The sequence below is a fragment of the Homo sapiens genome, chromosome 4 (assembly GCF_000001405.40).
Source record: "Homo sapiens chromosome 4, GRCh38.p14 Primary Assembly".
Taxonomy (NCBI): domain Eukaryota; kingdom Metazoa; phylum Chordata; class Mammalia; order Primates; family Hominidae; genus Homo; species Homo sapiens.
In genome coordinates this window covers 95353598-95372470 of record NC_000004.12, presented here as the reverse complement: position 1 = coordinate 95372470, position 18873 = coordinate 95353598, and the positions used below count along the sequence as shown (strand labels likewise).

General features: G+C 36.4%; 1 protein-coding gene across 4 annotated transcripts in view; it reads left to right on the top strand.

Annotated features, from left to right (window-relative positions):
* Positions 1–18873, top strand: part of UNC5C (unc-5 netrin receptor C) — a 386470-nt gene that overhangs the window by 176503 nt on the left and 191094 nt on the right. The window contains exons 1-3 of one of the 4 annotated variants that reach the window (XM_047416346.1): positions 7514–12617; positions 14133–14249; positions 15914–16076. The exons of 2 other annotated variants lie outside the window; for them this stretch is intronic. The gene's annotated coding sequence lies outside the window, so the exon portion shown is untranslated. Of the gene's footprint in view, positions 1–7513; positions 14250–15913; positions 16077–18873 lie in introns of those variants that run through there. One more of the 4 variants, XM_047416345.1, reaches the window with a different exon arrangement.

Here is an 18873-nt window from a genome sequence, read left to right as displayed (position 1 = left end):
CGCTTTTCTGTATGTGATAGGGGATGTCATCCAAAATATCATGGAGACCATTATGTCTGCATTTGTGTCAGTGGGTTTGCCTAATTTAGGTCTCAAATACATGGATGCCAAACACTTAGAAAGCAGCTGTTCTTCTAAATGTATTAAGCAATTTACTTTAGGTAATGTAGCCTATAAAATTTTAATTTTGGATTAAATAAGCCATATCCTGCAGCATGCCTACTGCACCTTGATATTCAAAAGATGAAATACGGGCATATTTAGTGAATTTCTTCTCAGGATGCTCCACTGGAGAAGGGTCAATAGTTTCCTAATGAAAGTAGTCAATAGCAATTCCTCTTAGGAAGCTCAAGGAAATTAGCATTAAACAACAGGCATGGGTGTCTAGGGTTTTACACAATTATGTGATAGGATTGTTACATGTTTCAGGAAATGGTTTCAGGAGGCATTGCACTGAAGAGGCAATTGATAGGAAACAGTGCAATTGTCCTGGCTCTGGGGCTGGCTGCATTACAATGTAGAAATCAGAAAGACACATAGCTTGAAAATCTATACTAAGAAATGCAGAACATGGTTTTTATAAATAAATTGCCAAAGTTAGTAAGGGTTATTGCATTTTAATGTCATGATTTGGAAGAGAACAGATGTTTTATTGGGTGAAAATTTGAGTTAAATACCCATTTGATTTCCAGCTTCTCAAGTGTCCTTTATGCTACTGTGAGGTTTTGAGCTGTGAAAAACTATTTATTGAACAAACACTTACGTAGCCCTGGTGTTTCCAGTGCTTTGCACATGTTAACTTATTTAATTTACATAACAATACTTTGAAGCTGGCGATTCAGTTATCCCTGTTTCTCAAGTGAAAAAAACAAGACACAGAGAGGTTAAGTAACTCATCCAAATTCACACAGGTACTAAATAGTGAACTCAGGCAATGTATGTAGATGCAGGACTTGCCTCTAAACCATCAGATTATGCTGCATCTTCCTATCAGTTTTCATCTTTTCCAACTCTAACCTCAATCACATTTGATACTCCCCCCCCCCCACAAAATATACTGTGTTTTTATTTCTTTCTTATCATAGCTGTAGGTTCAGCAAATGTTGAAGAACAGTGACAGGTCTGCCTTATGTACAGTGGGGTTTGCAACATTTTAAAAAGCAGTATGGATTTTTCTCATCTTTTATGTTTCTTTTTATTTCATGTCCGTTTTTCTGTCAAGATATAACCTATGGAGAAACGTTATGAAACAGCATTACACTGAGGAGACTATCACAGCTAGGGGAAGGCTGCCTCACTGAAGTGTTACTGAAAACAGACAGGCTTTCAATCCATGTTTTTTGGACTAAACAATGTTTAAAGTAACTTTATCAATAAACAACTAGAAGTTTCTAATTTCTAAGTAATTGGCATTACTCTTTTCTTAAATAATGTACTAAATATGAATAGATAAATAAACCTAAAAACTTCCTAATGGCCCCAGGACCCTGCTATGTATTGTGATCACTAGATAAACAACGTCAAGACAAGCTTAAACCTATAGCTTTCCCTCTACAGACCGCTTACTTATTAGAAAAACGAATGACCACTTTGAACTACGTATTCTTTTGAATGACATACTCTTTTGTACAACCCAGTGATTATTTTATTCATATAATCATTGGAAATCATGTAGTGCTTTTCTTATGATGCTGTTGTCTTACTGTGATAAAGTATAAACCTGTACGCGGTAATTACATGGAGTCACCCACAATGGGTGGTGCAGTTTGCTGCTTTTGCAACTTCAGAAGAATGAAAAACACAAATCAAGCTGCCAAATATAAGTGAGCAAAAGAAGGTTAACAAAACAAAACAACAATTAGCTGAAAATGAGTACAAATAAACCTTTCTTTTCATGTAGGCTCTACTTTTCATGAGTGTACCCAATTTTGCTTGCAAAAGCCAGTGACAGGAAACCAGGTCCTAAGGCCCAACTGTGGCCAGGAATATGCAGCCTTTTCCTGCTAGCATTTTTCCTGCTAGCATATTGGTGAATATCAGAAATCGCATGTACAGGCAATGCTGTGACATAAGCAAAAGTAAACTTTCTCTCTAGATGATGCTATATAATATAAATATAATATGACCACATATGAAATTTAAAATTTTCTAGTAGCTGCATTAAAAAAACAAATGAAATTAATCTTAGTAATATAATTATATAGCCCAATATATCTAAAATATCATTTAACATGTATTCCATAATAAAATATTATTAATGAGATATATTACCTTCTTTTATGGCCTGAGTCTTTGAAATTTAATCATATTTACATTTAAGCCACATCTCAGTTTGGATAAGCCATCTTTCAAGGCTCAATAGCCACATATGGCTACTGGCTAATGTGTTGGAGAGCGCAGCTCTAGACCAAGCCTTTCTCATTCTTTAAAAGAATTTGAAATGTATGCTCATTAGTTTTTTTCTACCTCTAAAACTATATCCTGTGTATTCTTGTGGACAGTGAATAAACAGATGGTAAAGTTATTCTGGGAACACAATATGATAGAATAATTTTGGAAACAGTTTTGAAAAAAAAAAGGGGGGGCTACAAAAAGCAGTTTTATCCATACTTGTCATTTCAACTCGTTTTCTTCCTCTGCAATGCCGTCCTTCCTATTTATTCATATTTTACCTACCGCTGTAGTCGAAACTTTCTTTGTTGCTTAATTTTATTTCTATCTGTGCTATCCAATATAGCGGCCCCAGTTACATTGGACCATTGATAACGGTATCAATGGTATTGCTAATGTGACTGAGAAATTTTTAATTTTATTAAGTTTTTGTTAATTTAAATTGAAAACTGCTACTGGATGCAGTTATTAAGAAACTTTTTAGTACACTTGGAATATTTGGATAGGTTAATCTCCTTTTTTTGGAGATGCGATCTCACTTTGTCGTTCAGCTTGGAGTGCAGTGGCGCAAGCAATCTCGGCTCACTGCAATCTCTGCCTCCTGGGCTCAAGCCATCCTCCCACCTCAGCCTCCCAAGTAGCTGGGACTACAGGCATGCACCACCACACCCAGCTAATTTTTATATTTTTTTGTAGAGTTGGGGTTTCATTATGTTTCCCAGGCTGGTCTCAAACTCCTGACCTCAAGTGATCTGCCCACCTCAGCCTCCCAAAGGGCTGGCATTACAGGTGTGAGCCACCACACCTGGCCTTACTTTTTGAACTATAAATTTTATGAAAACCGAATTAAAGTCAAGTATTTCTGGTAAAAATTTAGCACCAAATTGAGATTGCAGAAAGTATACATAAAAATACACACTGGGCTGGTCGCAGTGGCTCATGCCTGTAATCCCAGCACTTTGGGAGGCCGAGGTGGGAGGATCCCTTGAGGCCAGGAGTTAAGGACCAGTTTGATCAACATAGTGAGACTCCATCTCTACAAACAAATTCAAAATTTAGCTAGATATAGTGGATGTCGAGGATGCAGTGAGCTGTAATTGTGCCACTGCACTCCAGCCTGGGTGGCAGAGCAAGACTTTGTCTCAAAACACAGACACACAGACACACACACACACATACACACACACACAGGATTTTATAAACTTGGTACAAGGAAAAAAATGTAAAATATATCCTCAATAAAATTTAATGTTGAATATATTTTGCAATAACAATATTTTGGACATTTTGGGTTAAATAAAATATATCATTAAAATTCCCTTGTTACTTTTTACTTTTTTAAAGTGATGACTTGAAAATTTTAAATTACATATGCGATTTGCATTATATTTGCAATGGACAGTGCTGGTTTAGGTCTCACCTGGACTTTGAGAACATCTCAAACACTTGATTTGGAGAGTAATGGCCAAGAATATAATGCATTCCTAAAACCTGTAAGTCATAACTGGCTTACAGGTGGCCTCTTGAAAAAGTCACAGGGTTTAATGAAGTGCATCATAAATATACATTAGCTGTCATCAGAGACAGCCTACCTTTCAATTTATTGCTCTTTGAAATAATTTTGCCTTTTTTTGTTTCTAGAATTATTTGTTTTTCTTTTTTCATTTATTTACATTTTTAAATGAATTGATAATTCTTACCAATGCCATAATGGGATGTGAAATGTAGTAGTAAGCCTATAATTTGTAAAGCATTTTGAAATTGATTGGTTTTTTTTTTTTTCAAAAAAGATGTTATAAAAACATGTTATTTTACTTAGTTTCTATAGACAGGAAAAGCACATAGACTTATTAGCTTATTGAATTTGCTTTTCTAAATATCTCAGTATTGAATTGAACTACTCATTTATGATATAATTTCATACATCACAGATAGCTAGACAGTGTTATTTTAGACGTCAAAATGTTTTTAAATCATGAAAGGGGTATTCATACGCTATGCTAACAGGCTGTCAGCACACCAGAGACTGATTTAGACTGTGTCTGGGTTACTTTCATGACCTCTAATGCATCTGTGAAAGCATCTATTCACTGCACCATATCTGTCTTTCATCAGAATGAATTTGTCAGCCATTTCTAGGGAAGATAATGTAAAATAATTTTCCACATGTCTTATTTGTATTTCATTGCTAACATGATCTATAATGTTCTTAGATAGAAGCTGATCAATTCAAAAAGAATTTCTTAAGCACCTACAATGGGCTAAGTATGGTAGGTAATATAATTGATCTCCTTGAAACAACTAAAATTTACAGAGTCACTGAAATTAGCCTATGTGAAAAGTTTAAACATCAGAGTAAAGAAAGATAAGTTAATATTATTAGGATAAATAGTATGTTCAAAGTTTGATTATCATCAAGGTAACATAATTAATATTCTTATAGTCCAGTTGTCTAGGAGTTACCAATAAGATTTTAGAGAAGAGGTGATCACATTTTTAGAGGGTAAGTATAAAATATTTAATATATAGAATATTTAAAATATTTAACATCTACATTCAAATAAAGTGGCAACAAAGCATAGTGTTAAGAAGGACAGGAAAAGGCCAGTACGGTGGCTCACGCCTGTAATCCCAGCACTTTGGGAGGCCAAGGTGGGAGGATCACTTGAGACCAGGAGTTTGAAACCAGCCTGGGCAACATGGCGAAACCCAGTCTCTAAGGAAAAACATAAAATACAAAAAAATTAGCTGGGCATGGTGGTGTACGCCCATAATCCCAACTACTTGTGAGGCTAAGGTGGGAGAATCACTTGAGCCCAGAAAGTGGAGGCTGCAGTGAGCCATGATTTGCCACTGCACTCCTGGATTTTTCTTTGAAAAAAAAAAAAAAAAGAATGGGAGAAGTAAGAAGACTCAAATTCTAGGTCTGACGTACCAGTGAGCAGTGGTATGATTTGGGGATATGTTAAGTTTTTTGAGCCTTTATATAATATGTTAAATGGGGATTAATAAACTCTGCCCTACCTAATTGACAGGGTCTTAGTGAAGATGAAATGATACAGGTTTGTGAAGGGTTTTGCTGAACTTCAAATGACTAGTCAAATGCAAGACATTATTATAAATGTAACTTCCTAAATTCCTGTGATGGCTTACAATATCCCTCTGCTGCCAGCAAGCCTGATGGCATTGCAAATTATACTTGGGCAAAAACAGAAAAGTTTTGGTATAAATTGCCTCACAAAGAAAAGTTATTTTTCTTTTGAAATAACAGCCTCAATGTTTAGCTCTGCTGTTTTAATGTGACAAAAATTCGCTTAACAATTAAAAAAGAAACAAAACCAAAGTTAGGTTTGACTGGACTTAATCAGAAGACCTCTTAGGGTTGTCATCTGGAGCTATAGCCTTTGAAAATCATTTTGCACTTAGGTTTGCAACTAGCAATTTTATGTTGACAAAGGTCCTACCAATAATTGCTTCTTGTTACATTTTACAATCAACTTCATGACTAGGTTAGTATTTGATTGTTTTATTCAAATAGAAGATTTTGGAATGTGAAGCAATTTCTCAAAACATAGAGCCATCCAGGAAAGAGATTGGGATTTTAATTGTGTTGCCTTCATTATTGTTGGATGCTCCAGGCAGTTAGAGTTCCTCAAGAAGTTTAGGATAAAAGAATACAGTGACTCATCTCTTACAGTAAATCTTGGATGAAATATAATTTGTAAGTTGATCAGTGTTTTCAGGATCACATATTTTATTTTATTTACTTTATTTTATTTTTGAGATGGAGGTCTCACTACATTGCCCAGGCTTGTCTTGAACTGCTGGGCTAAAGTGATTCTCCCACCTCAGACTCCTGAGTAGCTGGGACTACAGGTGCACACCAGTGCACTCAGCCCATCACATGTATTTTATTAATACAAAATAATGCTTACCTCGACTTCACTTCCTAAAACATCATAAAATTGTACCTTTCTCTTTTGAAAAGTAGGTAACTCCAGGCCCTTTGTGACAGGACCAGATAGTGGGTTGGCAGTACTTTGCTGTAGGATATTCCACTGAACCAAATTTAATTTCTCTTCAAATGGAAGAAAACATAGCATATTACAGCTTATAATTTTGATTTAAAAAAAAAAAACTTCTCAGAAAATTCTTTAGAGCAGAGAAATCCTGGGGGAAAAAATCACATCACTTTTTACATAGCAGCTAAACCCTAGATAAAAAGGAAAATAACACCTGGTAGATGAGTGCCTGAGCTCAGATCTCTAGAAATCATCAGTCATCCCAGACAACTGGGTCTTGCTATTGTACTTACTTTAATGTTGTTTATTCTCAGTGATTTTTCATGTGCATTGATATTTAGAACATGTCTCATTTTAACTCTATGTATGTTAGAAATTGATCTGCATTTGAAAAGATAAAGATCAATTGGCACTTTGACACATTTGAGCATTGAAAAGAATATTTTAAAATAGGTTTGAGCCATTAGAAATAACATTATGAAATATAATATTTAAACAGAATTATAAAATTTTCAGTAAGGGTATTATTGTAATAGCAAAATGGAGTAGTACTTTTAGTGATATATTTTAATTTTGAAAATATATATTTATCTTTTACATTATATATTGTTATATTTTTACATTATTTATATGAAAAATATAGAAAATAAAATATATATTATATTAAATTTTTGTATTATATATTTTTAAATGTTATATAATTTTTTATTGTATTATGTTGTATTGTATTTTCTTTATTTCTTTTCTTTTTTTTTTTTTTTTGAGACAGATTCTTGTTCTGTTGCCCAGGCTGGAGTGCAGTGGCACAATCTCAGCTCACTGCAACCTCCACCTCCCAGGTTCAAGAGATTCTCTTGCCTCAGCCTCCTGAGTAGCTGGGACTACATGGACATGCCACCATGCCCAGTTAATTTCTTGTATTTTTAGTAGAGACAGGGTTTCACCATGTTGGCCAGGGTAGTCTCGAACTCTTGACCTCAGGTGATCCGCCTTTCTCGGACTCCCAAAGTGCTGGGATTACAGGTGTGAGCCACTGCACCCGACCTAAATATTTATTTTTTACATGTAAATAAATATATACTTAAATATAAATATATCTATATTAGTTACATTGTTTTGTTTTGCTTATGGTGTCCTTTCTTGATAAAGAATTTGACAGTGCTTACAAAAATACATAAACTGCAATGAATAAGATAAATCCTTGAGAAAGTTAGTAGGGCAGAAAAATAAGGCAATGATGATAATGATTTGATGACGATGAAGTGGTTGTTCAGTGTGGCATCAATACTAAGCACTGCTGTAGACACTTTTGATGTACTTACTCATGTAATCCTCACAATAACCTTAGAAATATCTTAGGATGAAAAAGAAATTAAGGTACATATTCCAAGTCACAGAGTTAAAAAGGCACTCATTTGAAATCTGTCACCCGGCCTTTGAGCCTGGGCTCTGGGTCACTGAGCTCCCCTGCCTTCTCCGTAAAACCAGCAGGTAAAATTACATATACATTTTACAGGGTGCCACACATTTGGTTCTAAGACTTAGCAGCTAAATCAAAGCTGCAAAAGCAATCATAGTGTCAATAGGATAAAATATCAGTCATTTTGAAGATAAAGTGAAATGCTTTACAGATTTACTTGAAACTACCTCCACCAAATATTGAATGCTGTGTCAAATTGTCCCCATATCAATAATGGGATATAGTTCTTGAAAGCATCCACACCTCCTAACATCAACATTTTAGCAGCATTTTGGTGTATCAAAAAGAGGTTTCCTTTTCAGTATCTCCAGACACAATGATGTAGCTTGTGCAGTTGTTGGTGGAGTCACATGTTCTGTGCCAGGAAAGCAGTGTTGTATTTTGCCAGCTCAGCTACAGTCAAACCTGTCAGCCTTCAGACCTTTGGTATTTTTGAAATGCAGTCCAGGAAGTGCTCCAGAAAGTTTCACGGCATGGTTGAGAGTGGCAGCAGAAAGTGGGACCAGGAGTCATTGAGATGGGTCATTTTGAACATGCAGTCAAGTGGCACATCTTAATATGTTGGTAAACACAGATGTAAAAGTATATCAATATGTCACCCCCACACTTTATCCAAACACTTTGCCCAGTATAGTTCAAATGAGGTTTTCAATTGCTTCCCCCAGAAGTGTGAGATTCAGCATCTACGTATGGTAGGCCAATTGCCCCAAGCCTAGGGCTGATGCTACCTTGCTGTGCAAGGAAAGAGGTGATTAGGTCTAAATTTGACTCCTGGAGTGAGGCCTCAGGGTGGCTCTCCAAGGTGTCAAGGGGTACTGTAGCTGTTATTTCACCAGTGAAAAGCGGCATCTGCATGAAACTCTCAGAGGTTTTTTGTTTTTGTTTCTTTTTTGTTTTGTAGCTAAACAATGAACTAACTTGGCACTGTTTCAGAAGGGGCATTATATCAAAGAACATTCTTTCACTCTCTTTTGTGACTGACAAGAGACAAGCAAAGCCTCTTTTATAGAGTGCAATTAATCACTATCAAAACACACAGCTGTTGCTTTAATTTGGCTACTAATTTACTTATAGTTTGATTTTGCCACTTAAAATGAAGTATTATCACTGAGGCAACAATGTGAAAGTATGCTGTTGTAAACGATCTCTGAGTCATAAAATCTCCACTTGTTTTGCCAAAAACTTAATCTGATGTTCAATGAATCTCCCACTGCCCGAAGACCTCTGTAATCCTGGGATGCGACATTTTGTTTGCAGACTCTTGATTTAGTGGTGCCTCTGCCAAATGATCACTAACAAATGATAGCACAGCCAAGTGAGATCAGTGAGATTTGTGTCTGGTTTGTGTAATGGTAAGCCGGTGGTGCAGCTGTCTGCCAGAGACTCCCCCTAAAAACTCAGATATAGTGAGCAATAATCAGCTCATTAAAAAATGAAACAGCCAAGAAGAACCGTTATGGTGATTGAAAACACTTGCTGGTGCAAGTGTGTCCATGGCCCAGTCCACCAGCTGGCAGAGGTGTAGCTAGGGTTTCTGAGTGTGTGTAACTCCAGGGGGTGATGTTTACATAAACTACAATATGAACGGCGCCCCCTAGAGCTGTGTAATATGATATCCCTGCATTTTGTAGTCTACACTTTTTACCTTTTCCATGGTATCCTATTATTATTTAACACATTTGTATTTCCACTTGCCTATAAACTCCTTTATAACTTGTTTCATTTTCTTGATCTTCATATTCCCAGGCCCTAGAGTGCCTATGGCATAGAGAAGGGGTTTTCATTTAAAGTTATTCAATGAATGAAATAAAAGTGCAAATATATTTTTCAAAGCCAAGGATTTTAGCTTTTGTGTTTTAACAAGTAAGAACTTTCCAAAAATACCATTCATATTGGTATGTCAGCTCAGTTGTCACATGATATAACAGTGAGGAATCCTGCGGGTGCAAGTGAAAGAAGCCCAAATCAAGCAGGTTTAAGTCAAAAAGATAAAAAACACATTTATTGGTTCATGTAACAGAAAATCCCAGAATTAGACCCATCTGGCTCCATCACAGTCAAATCCATTGCTCTAAATGATGACCTGACCACATTCTTGCTCCATCTCTCAGCTGTGCCTTTCTTTGTGTTGCTCCATGCAACCTCGCTGTTTCCATCCCACATCAAGATGGCCATGAACAGCGTCATACTAACAGCCAGTCTTTCAGCAATCATTTTCTCCCCATCACAGCAAAATCCCAGATTTCATTGTAATTACACTGCCTTGGGTCATGTGCTCATCCTGAACCAATAATTGTGGTCAGAGGATTGGAACGCTCCGATGGGCAGGAGGGGAAGCGAGTGGGAAACCGAACCACGTGGCCTAAGAGGGTGGAAGAGGTTTCTTTTTCAAAACAAGAAGAAATAGATGATAGAAAAAGGAAAAACAAGATGTTTTCCTGACATCATTCCTCATTTAACAGGTGTTGAAACTAGGGCTCAGAGAAGACATGTGACTTGACAATGTAAGTCTTCTGACACTGAGTCCAGTGTGTTTTTTACCTTATCTTTCATTAATTGTTGGGCTGTTTCAGTTTGTAAGTGATTAGAAGTAAGATATATATATATATAATAGATAATAGATAATCTGTTTTTTATATATATACGTCACGTAGCATGGTGCTCTGAGAACACTGAAGAACAAGAAGGAGTGAATGGGTTGATTGATCATTAGAATCATAAGACTATTTTTTGAGCCTTTGGTTCAGTATGATTCAGCTTGATTTCCTAATCTGTGAAAAAAGGCAGTTTGATTTTTTTGACAGATCATACAAGTAGGTAGAAGCTTTTTCGGAATTACTGGCAGTGATTTCAACAAAAAACAATCCAATGCAAATGGCTGTCTTATTTCTCTGCACTCTTGACTACTGAAATGTTTGTTTTGTTTGCTTTGATTTGGATGTGGTTCTAGTTTTGGTGAGAGTGAAGTGGCACTTTGGCCTGAAGGACTGTGTGTTTTAGAGAGTCACAGACATTCGATCTGCAGCCCACACTCACAGGAGACACTTTCATAAATGCTGCATGATTCCATGTCCACATCTGCACAGAGCAGCACATCCTTGGTGATCACATTTTATTTTAACTTAGTTTTGTTTGCTTTTTAATTCACTTTTTGTGGCAGTTCATCTTGAAGGTATGAAAAGGATAATGATTTCACAAGAACTTGAGTTGAACGCATGCAGAAGAAGAGAGAGTTAAAGGGACTGCCCTGAAATCAACCTGCTTATTTAAGTAGATTTGAAGAAAAACAGAGTATGAAAACAACAAATCAGCCTGACTTATCTAAGAAGAGTGGATAAAATAGTCCCTGCAGGAGGAAATGTGTAACCAAATCCAGTACTTTATCACATCTTCATGAAACCTTGAAATAGCTCTATGAATTTATATTGTTTCCGAAAGACATGTGATCCGTGCTGTCTTATCCTGCCCCACTGTGAACCCTGAAATCAATCCATTGCTCTCTCAAACTTTGGGAAAATGATATGCTGGAAATGTCAATGAACTAGCTGCAGTCACAGAACGTGTTTTTACTTTCTGAGTTTACTGAAGTGGAAGACAGAAAGGATGCCTTCCTAAAAAATAACCGCATATACTCACAGACCTATATTTTCTAGACATGAGTACGTTTCTATTAAAATGCCTCCTTAACATGAGAAAACCTTGTAATTACTTTCTTTCACAAATCATTTGCCTCCTTTATATTTCCAAAGATGGCCAATTCTAATTTCTTTTTTGGAGGTTTAATAAAACAGAGGCCTTGGAGAAAGGAAATGGATACCGTTCAAAGAAATCCACCTCCTGAAACACAAGAGGCCAGAGTTAGATCTTTGGTGCTTCCATCTTTCCACAAATCACTCTCGTCTGTTTCAGCTTACATTAGCTCATAATCATTGTTTTGTATTGTAGATATTCTGAAGAAGCACACTATCAATGGATAAAATGCAATTTAAGATTTCTGGCTCATAAGGAACAGTGAAAGGTGGCTAAACATTACAGTTGTATTGCACTACTTAACTTGGAATCCTTTCCCTGTATGTTTTTTGCAAATTTTCTGTTTGTTTATTTATTTCACAATACTTTTAACAGTGCTAATCTCTTACTCTGTGGAGCAGTTAACAATTCTCCAACTGGTTATACATATCCTGTGCCATTCGTGTCTTACTGCTCCTCTTCATATTGTGGACAATGATTTGCTAAGTCTTTTTCCTTTAACTTACAGATTACCAGTAATTTTAAATTCACAGATAACTTTTAAAACATTTTTATAAATATATTGGTTAAATAAATTAGAAAGTAATGCAAATGAAAGAATAATAAGAACATGTCATTGTAATCTCTGAAGAGACCAGTATATATAGCATGTATAAACGTATTGTTGAAAAGGTAACATCTGTATATTTCTCGTTTAGACCTATAACTAATAAATAGATGTTGGTATCTCCTTGGGAAACTCCACAGAGTTTATTATTCATCAGATGGTTCTCTAAGTCTATGTATTGAGTATTTGTCAAGCAAAAAGGGAATGTTTGCTACTTACTAGCTTTATAAACATTGGGCAAGTTAATGGACTTCTCTGTGCCTGTTTTTTAATCTTCAGAATGGCAGTAATGATATTACCCACGGTGCTATTGTGAGAATTAAATGAGGGAAAATATCCAAGTCCTTAGTAGGATACCTGGCATATTGTAAGTGCTTCTTAAGTATTTGTTATTCTTTAAAATATTTTTTTCAATATTGTTACTAACCATAATACTGTTAGAGAATTATTTTCAAAACCAAGCTTTCACATTTTGGGAGGCAGTGTCATGTTTACAGCAGTCAGGCTTACCAAGCCAGAGGTACCTAGATTCCTTTCCTAGCTCTTCTATTAAACAGATGGATAGTCTTGGGACACACTCAAAGTTTCAAAACCCAAGTTTTCATCTAGGAAAAACACAGGGAGCTTTAAAAAGTTGCGTCCCAGAGGGTAGCTGAAAAATGAGAAGGTAATATTATTAAATAATGTAGAAAAATGGCTTCATAAAGAAAACTTCTCTCACCTTTTTTTTTTTTAGAAACAGTATAGGTAGCAATTATTAAACTGAGAAAACACTTCTCTAGTTTAACAAATGATGCTGAAGCTTGTCGTTAAATCTCATCCAATTTTTTTTGCCCTAGAGCTGAACACCTTTGGCCAACAAAAGAAGTTACATGCCTGATTCTTAAATTTGTAAACAAATAAAACATTATTTTCTGTTTATTTGTACAATGTAGAAGTAGGTCTAAAGTAATTGGCAACTTGGCAAGTTTTTATTTTATCTCAACAGTGAAAATACTTAAGCCATGGCATAGCCCCAGACTTAATTTCTTATATCATTCAATCTTCACTTTTGTCTTCTGATAAATGGATACTAGCTACTTAATTCTTAAATCCAATATGATTTCCAAAACAAACTTATTGGGCATGACTTCAACTATACTGGTTGGTTAATCTTTTACTTTTGATGTAGAATTTAATTACAGACCTCAAATATAACTACCTCCAAATACAACATGAAATCTTAAAACTTTAACTGCCTTTAAGCATAGCCAGAGTCCTTGGAACTTTTTATTTATCTGCAGACTTCTACAGAATAACAGTTTCATGGCTGTGGAAACATTTGTCATATTTCAAAATCTAGTCTTTATCTGTGGCCCTAAAGTAGATTTAGGTCTTGCAAGATTTTTTTATCTTATAAAAATAGCTCACTTCTTTCAACTTCATGTAAAGATTGCAGGCTGGGCTAAAGTGACAAAGAATGCCTTAAGGGGAACTTTGAATGAATAACTTTAAAGGAAACTATTTTCACCAAAGACTTGTCCAGATTTAATTAGTTATGAGGGTCAAAGGGAGGGAGAAAAGGCCAGAAGCCTGAAGGGATTGCCAGAGTAAAATGTTAAGGAGAAGTGAGGACTCACGTGGAGAAGGAAGTGTAGCCACTTGAAGTTTTAATAATTTTGTGACCTGGTGTCAAGTATTGTGATTTCTAAGGGCAGGAGAGGTAAAAATGTGAAATATTAACCAGCACTGTTCATTGCTAGAGGTGACTCATACCCTTACCATCTTCTTCAGTATATTGGGTATATTATCCTTCAAAATAATAAATTTTGGAAGAATGTCATTTGCTCCATCAAAAAGGATGAAATAAATGTGGTTTATAATGAACATTTTCTCTCAACAGAGTTAACACTCTTCTTGCAAAGCCACAAAAAAATGAATTCTATCACATGCCACAAGGAAACTATGATTTTAAAAAAGGACACACATGGATCTAGAATTGATCTACTTTAAGCTAAAGGTAGAAACTGCATTAATAAGGATTGTGATGCTTTTTTGTTTTTGTTGTAAAACACCTGCCAAAATTTTGGTACCATGTAAACATTACCAAAGCCATAAATGTGCAGTGGTGTTTTTTTTGTTGCTTGTTTTTTTGTAAATATTGTATGATGGTAGCTTATACTAAACATAGTAGGTCAGCAGTTGGCACATAATTGGTTTATGATAGCACCAAGTTTGTAAGGGATGGATCAAGTGAGGCAGAGTATTTATTTAAAAAGCAGTAGTCAAGACACAGAACATGTATAGCATTATCCCATTTATCTGTTTTTGAACACTGTATGTGATTCACACACACACACACATTCATTCTTTACTGTAAAATTTTAGCTACTAACATATGTTACTATTAGTGTTTTTTGTGGTTGTCATTTTTGTTTTTGTTTTTGTTTTGAGACAGGGCCCTGCTCTGTCACCCAGGATGGAGTACAGTGGCTTGATCATGCTTACTACAGCCTCAACCTCCTGGGCTCAAGTGATCCCTTCACCTCAGGCTTCCCAGTAGCTGAGACCACAGGCATGCACCACCAAACCTGGCTATTTCTTCCTTTTTTTAATTTTTTGTAGAGACAGAGGTCTTGCTATGTTGATCAGGCTGACCTCGAACTGCTGGGCTCAAGCGATCCTCTGGCCTCAGCCTCCCAAAGTGCTGGGATTACAGGCATGAGACAACAGGCCTGGACAGTATTTTAGTTTTTTAATAATAGCTTTTTAATAAGGAACATGTAACAGCATAAAAAAAATGCAAGGCCAGGTGCAATGGTGCACGCCTGTAATCCCAGCACTTTGGGAGGCTGAGGAGGGTGGCTTGAGGCCGAGTTTGAGACCAGCCTGGGCAGCATAGCAAGATCCCATCTCTACAAAAATATAATTTAAAAAATTATCTGGGTGCAGTGGCACATGCCTGTTGTCCCAGCTACTCAGGAGGCTGAGGTGGGAGAATCACTTGAGTCCAGGAGTTGGAGGCTGCAGTGAGCTATCATTGTGCCACTGCACTACAGCCTTCTATGTCACAGAGTAAGACCATGTCTTTAAATAAAAAAAAAAACAAAAAAAAGGAAAACAAGAAATCAGTAGTCCACAGGGGTAGCTCAAAATTAAGAAGAGAAAATAAACCTCAGATGAATTAGAAATGGGTTGGAAATGTTGTCACAGACCTTACAAAGTCAGAAAATACATAGCAGAGCCATGAAATTTTGATACTGGCCTGGAAGGTCTTCCCCTTAATACCTGTGCAATCTCAGAAAAGTCACTCAGACCAGTTGCGCCCAGTTTCCTCTTATATAAAACGAGACAGTTTTACCAACTCTAAAATTCACTGTAGATATTTACTTATGCAACAGATTACTTCTCTATAACCTCAAGCAATACTCACTCATGTTTTCCCACCCTACAGTTTTGTAACTGCCAGTTAGCCAGTGAGAATGGCCACAAAGAAAGGAGACATTTCTCTGGACCTCTTTCTCTTGCCTTGTTACCCAGGCCTCTCTCTCACACAGTCCTGATACACAGCCATGGTGGAAGCACAGACTCCTAGAGTGCTAAGGGACTTCTAGACTATATTCACTTTCTGGAAACTGCCATTTGTGTGTATGATGTCTTTACAACTTGGATTTTTGTTTATAGAATATGAATCAATCCATCAGCTCACTTAAACACACTTAGAAAAGGCAAAAGATCATTATGAATGTGGCTGGAACCAATACCAAGGCCTCGAACTCATGGTTCAATGTTCCTTTCACCACTTGCTGATGCCTCCCAAGCAGTACTTGAAAATAAACAAATTTTGGTAAGTGATATGGTAACTGGAATTTCTACATAGGGAGATTTTTAATAAGCAAATTCTGAAATTTTGATTATAAGTTATAGCCTAAATTTTAATAGGGAGAGAACTAAGATAAGACAAAAACAATTTTGTATACCATAGGAAAGAATGAGGAAGAACGAGGAATCTGTTTTTTTTTTGTTTTGTTTTTTTTTTTTTTTTTTTGCTACAGGGTCTTCCTCTGTCACCCAGGCTGAATGAAGTGCAGTGGTGCAATCACAGCTTACTGCAGCTTCTAACTCCTGGGCTCAAATGATCCTCCAACCTCAGCCTCCTGAGTAGCTGTAACTACAGGTGGGTGCCACCACACCCAACTAATTTTTAAATTTTTTGTAGATACAGGGTCTCTCTATGTTGCCCATGCTGGTCTCAAATTCCTGGACTCAAATGATCTTCCCACCTCAGTCCCCCAAACTACTGGAATAAGAAGTGTGCACCCAACCAGTAATAAGGAGTCTTAACAAGGCATTAACACAAAAACTAACGTATTGTTTATTAAAAGTAGTAAAATGAAGAGTATTGACTTTTATATTTTTAAAAATTGGGGGAAACATAGTTTTAGGAATCTCTATGTATTCATCCATTTATTCAGCAAACCTCGTCTTTTATTTATCTTTGGTTTTGCTATGTACCAAGAGTCCCTTAGCACTCTAGGAGTCTGTACTTCCACCATGGCTGGGTACTCCAGATTAATAAATGAAATGCACAGAAACTTGTTCAGATAAACTCTGTTTCATGCTGGGGGGGTGGGGCGCAGAAAAGAACAATGTAATATATTACTGTGTGATAGGCACAACGGTGCAATGATGCCCATTGTGCACTGGTAGCAGGGGGAGATGGCAACAACCCCATGCTGGAAGGGCCCAGAATGACTTGCTGGAGGAAATAAAGCTTAAGGTGAACTTAGAAGACTAGGAGTTCACCAGGCACAGGAGAGAAAAGACATTACTGGTGGAGGGATTAAAGAGTACTAGAGCTCAAGTGTATTTAGGAAAATGAGAGAAGCTTGATACCAAAATAGACATTCAACAAGAAAATAAGGCAAGTAGAATATTTTTATATGTGGATATCTTATCTTGTGGTCATCTCTAAGCTAGGTCATTTACATTCCCTTATTTCATGTAACCCACACACTGTCGCCACATTGCCATATCTACAGATTTTATAGCCACAAAAACTGAGATTTGGTGAAATGTCAGAAGTCACATACCTAATAAGCAGCAGTACTCATATTTAAAACTAGGTCTGTGGAATCTCAAAGCCTATTTTTATAGCAATTACACAATTCTTAATCTATGAGAACAAAATCTATATTCTTTCCTAGATACAGACAGCTCTGCAATCATTTATTCAAAAAATACAAATTCAACTCCCTGAGCATAATAAGCACCAAGTATGCAAAGATGCATAACAGCCAGCTAGTTAGCTACAGAGCTAATTATAAAAGGTAGTGTTAGAAATAGATATAAGCCCCTAACAAGTTGAAGATACGGGTGGGAGAGAGATAGAAAATGGTTCTAAACTGGCACAGGTGAAGAGAGTCAGAGAAAACTTCCTAAAAGAAATGATGCTGGCTGGGCATGGTGACTCACACCTGTAATCCCAGACAGCACTTTGGGAAGCCAAGGTGGAAGGATCACTTGATCCCCGGAGTTTGAGACCACCCTGGGCAGCATAGCATGACCCCATCTCTACAAAAAAATGTAAACATTAGCCAGGCATAGTGGTGCATGCCTGTAGTTCCAAGTACTCAAATAAGGCTGAGGTGGGAGGATGGCTTGAGCCCAGACATTTGAGGTTACAGTGAGCCATTATTGCACCACTGCACTCCAGCCTGGGTGACAGGACAAGACCCTGTCTCTTAAAAAAAAAAAAAAAATATATATATATGGAAGAGTTAGGTAAAATACGATAGAAAAGTCATTGAAGACAGAAGGTGTAGAAACTGCGTGTTGTGTGCATAGGATGATACAGGGTCTGTGTTTTTGGAATGTGGAGGGCAAGGCAGGGAGTGGTGAAAGATGAGGTTGGAGTGGTCAGCAAGCTATGGAGGCCCTATAGACCATGTGGGCAAGCTTGGATTCATCTTATAGGAAACGAGGAGCTACAGGAATTTAAACCACAGGGGGACTTAGTCAGATCTTACCTTTAGACAGCAGGCACACAACAACAGTTATGAAGATTTGAAAATGTTTAGGCAAAAAATGATGATAATAGTGGAATCCGAAACAGAAAGAAACAGATTCAAAAAGTATGTAGGTCATACAATGAGTAGAACTTCGTTGTTTTTATGTTGGAAATGAGGGAGAGGAAAGAGTCAAAGATAATTCTTAGATTTCTAGCTTGGGGCAATCCTTTGATTTTGAAGGTTTTCTGTGCTCATGAACTTCATTAGGACTTATGGACTTCTGTACTTTTCATGTGTATTATTAACAAATCATTTCACTGAATTGAAGTAATAACTTCTACATTCTATAGTCACTAAAATAGTTTTTTAATTTTTAAAGAAAATCTTAAATTAGAGTTTTTAAATGGTTATTTAGTTAAAATATACTTTAAACCATATGGTCTTATCGTTGGTTATAACTATTTTTAGTGTCACAATAATTTTAATGATAAACATTGTACCACATCAACTAAGTTTTCTTTTTTTAAATAAACCAAATATTCTTATTTTCAATATATTTCTATTTTCTTTTCATAGTTTGCAATATTATAAATTTAATTCTTGTTTTCAGTTTGGTGATGTTAGTCTCCTTCA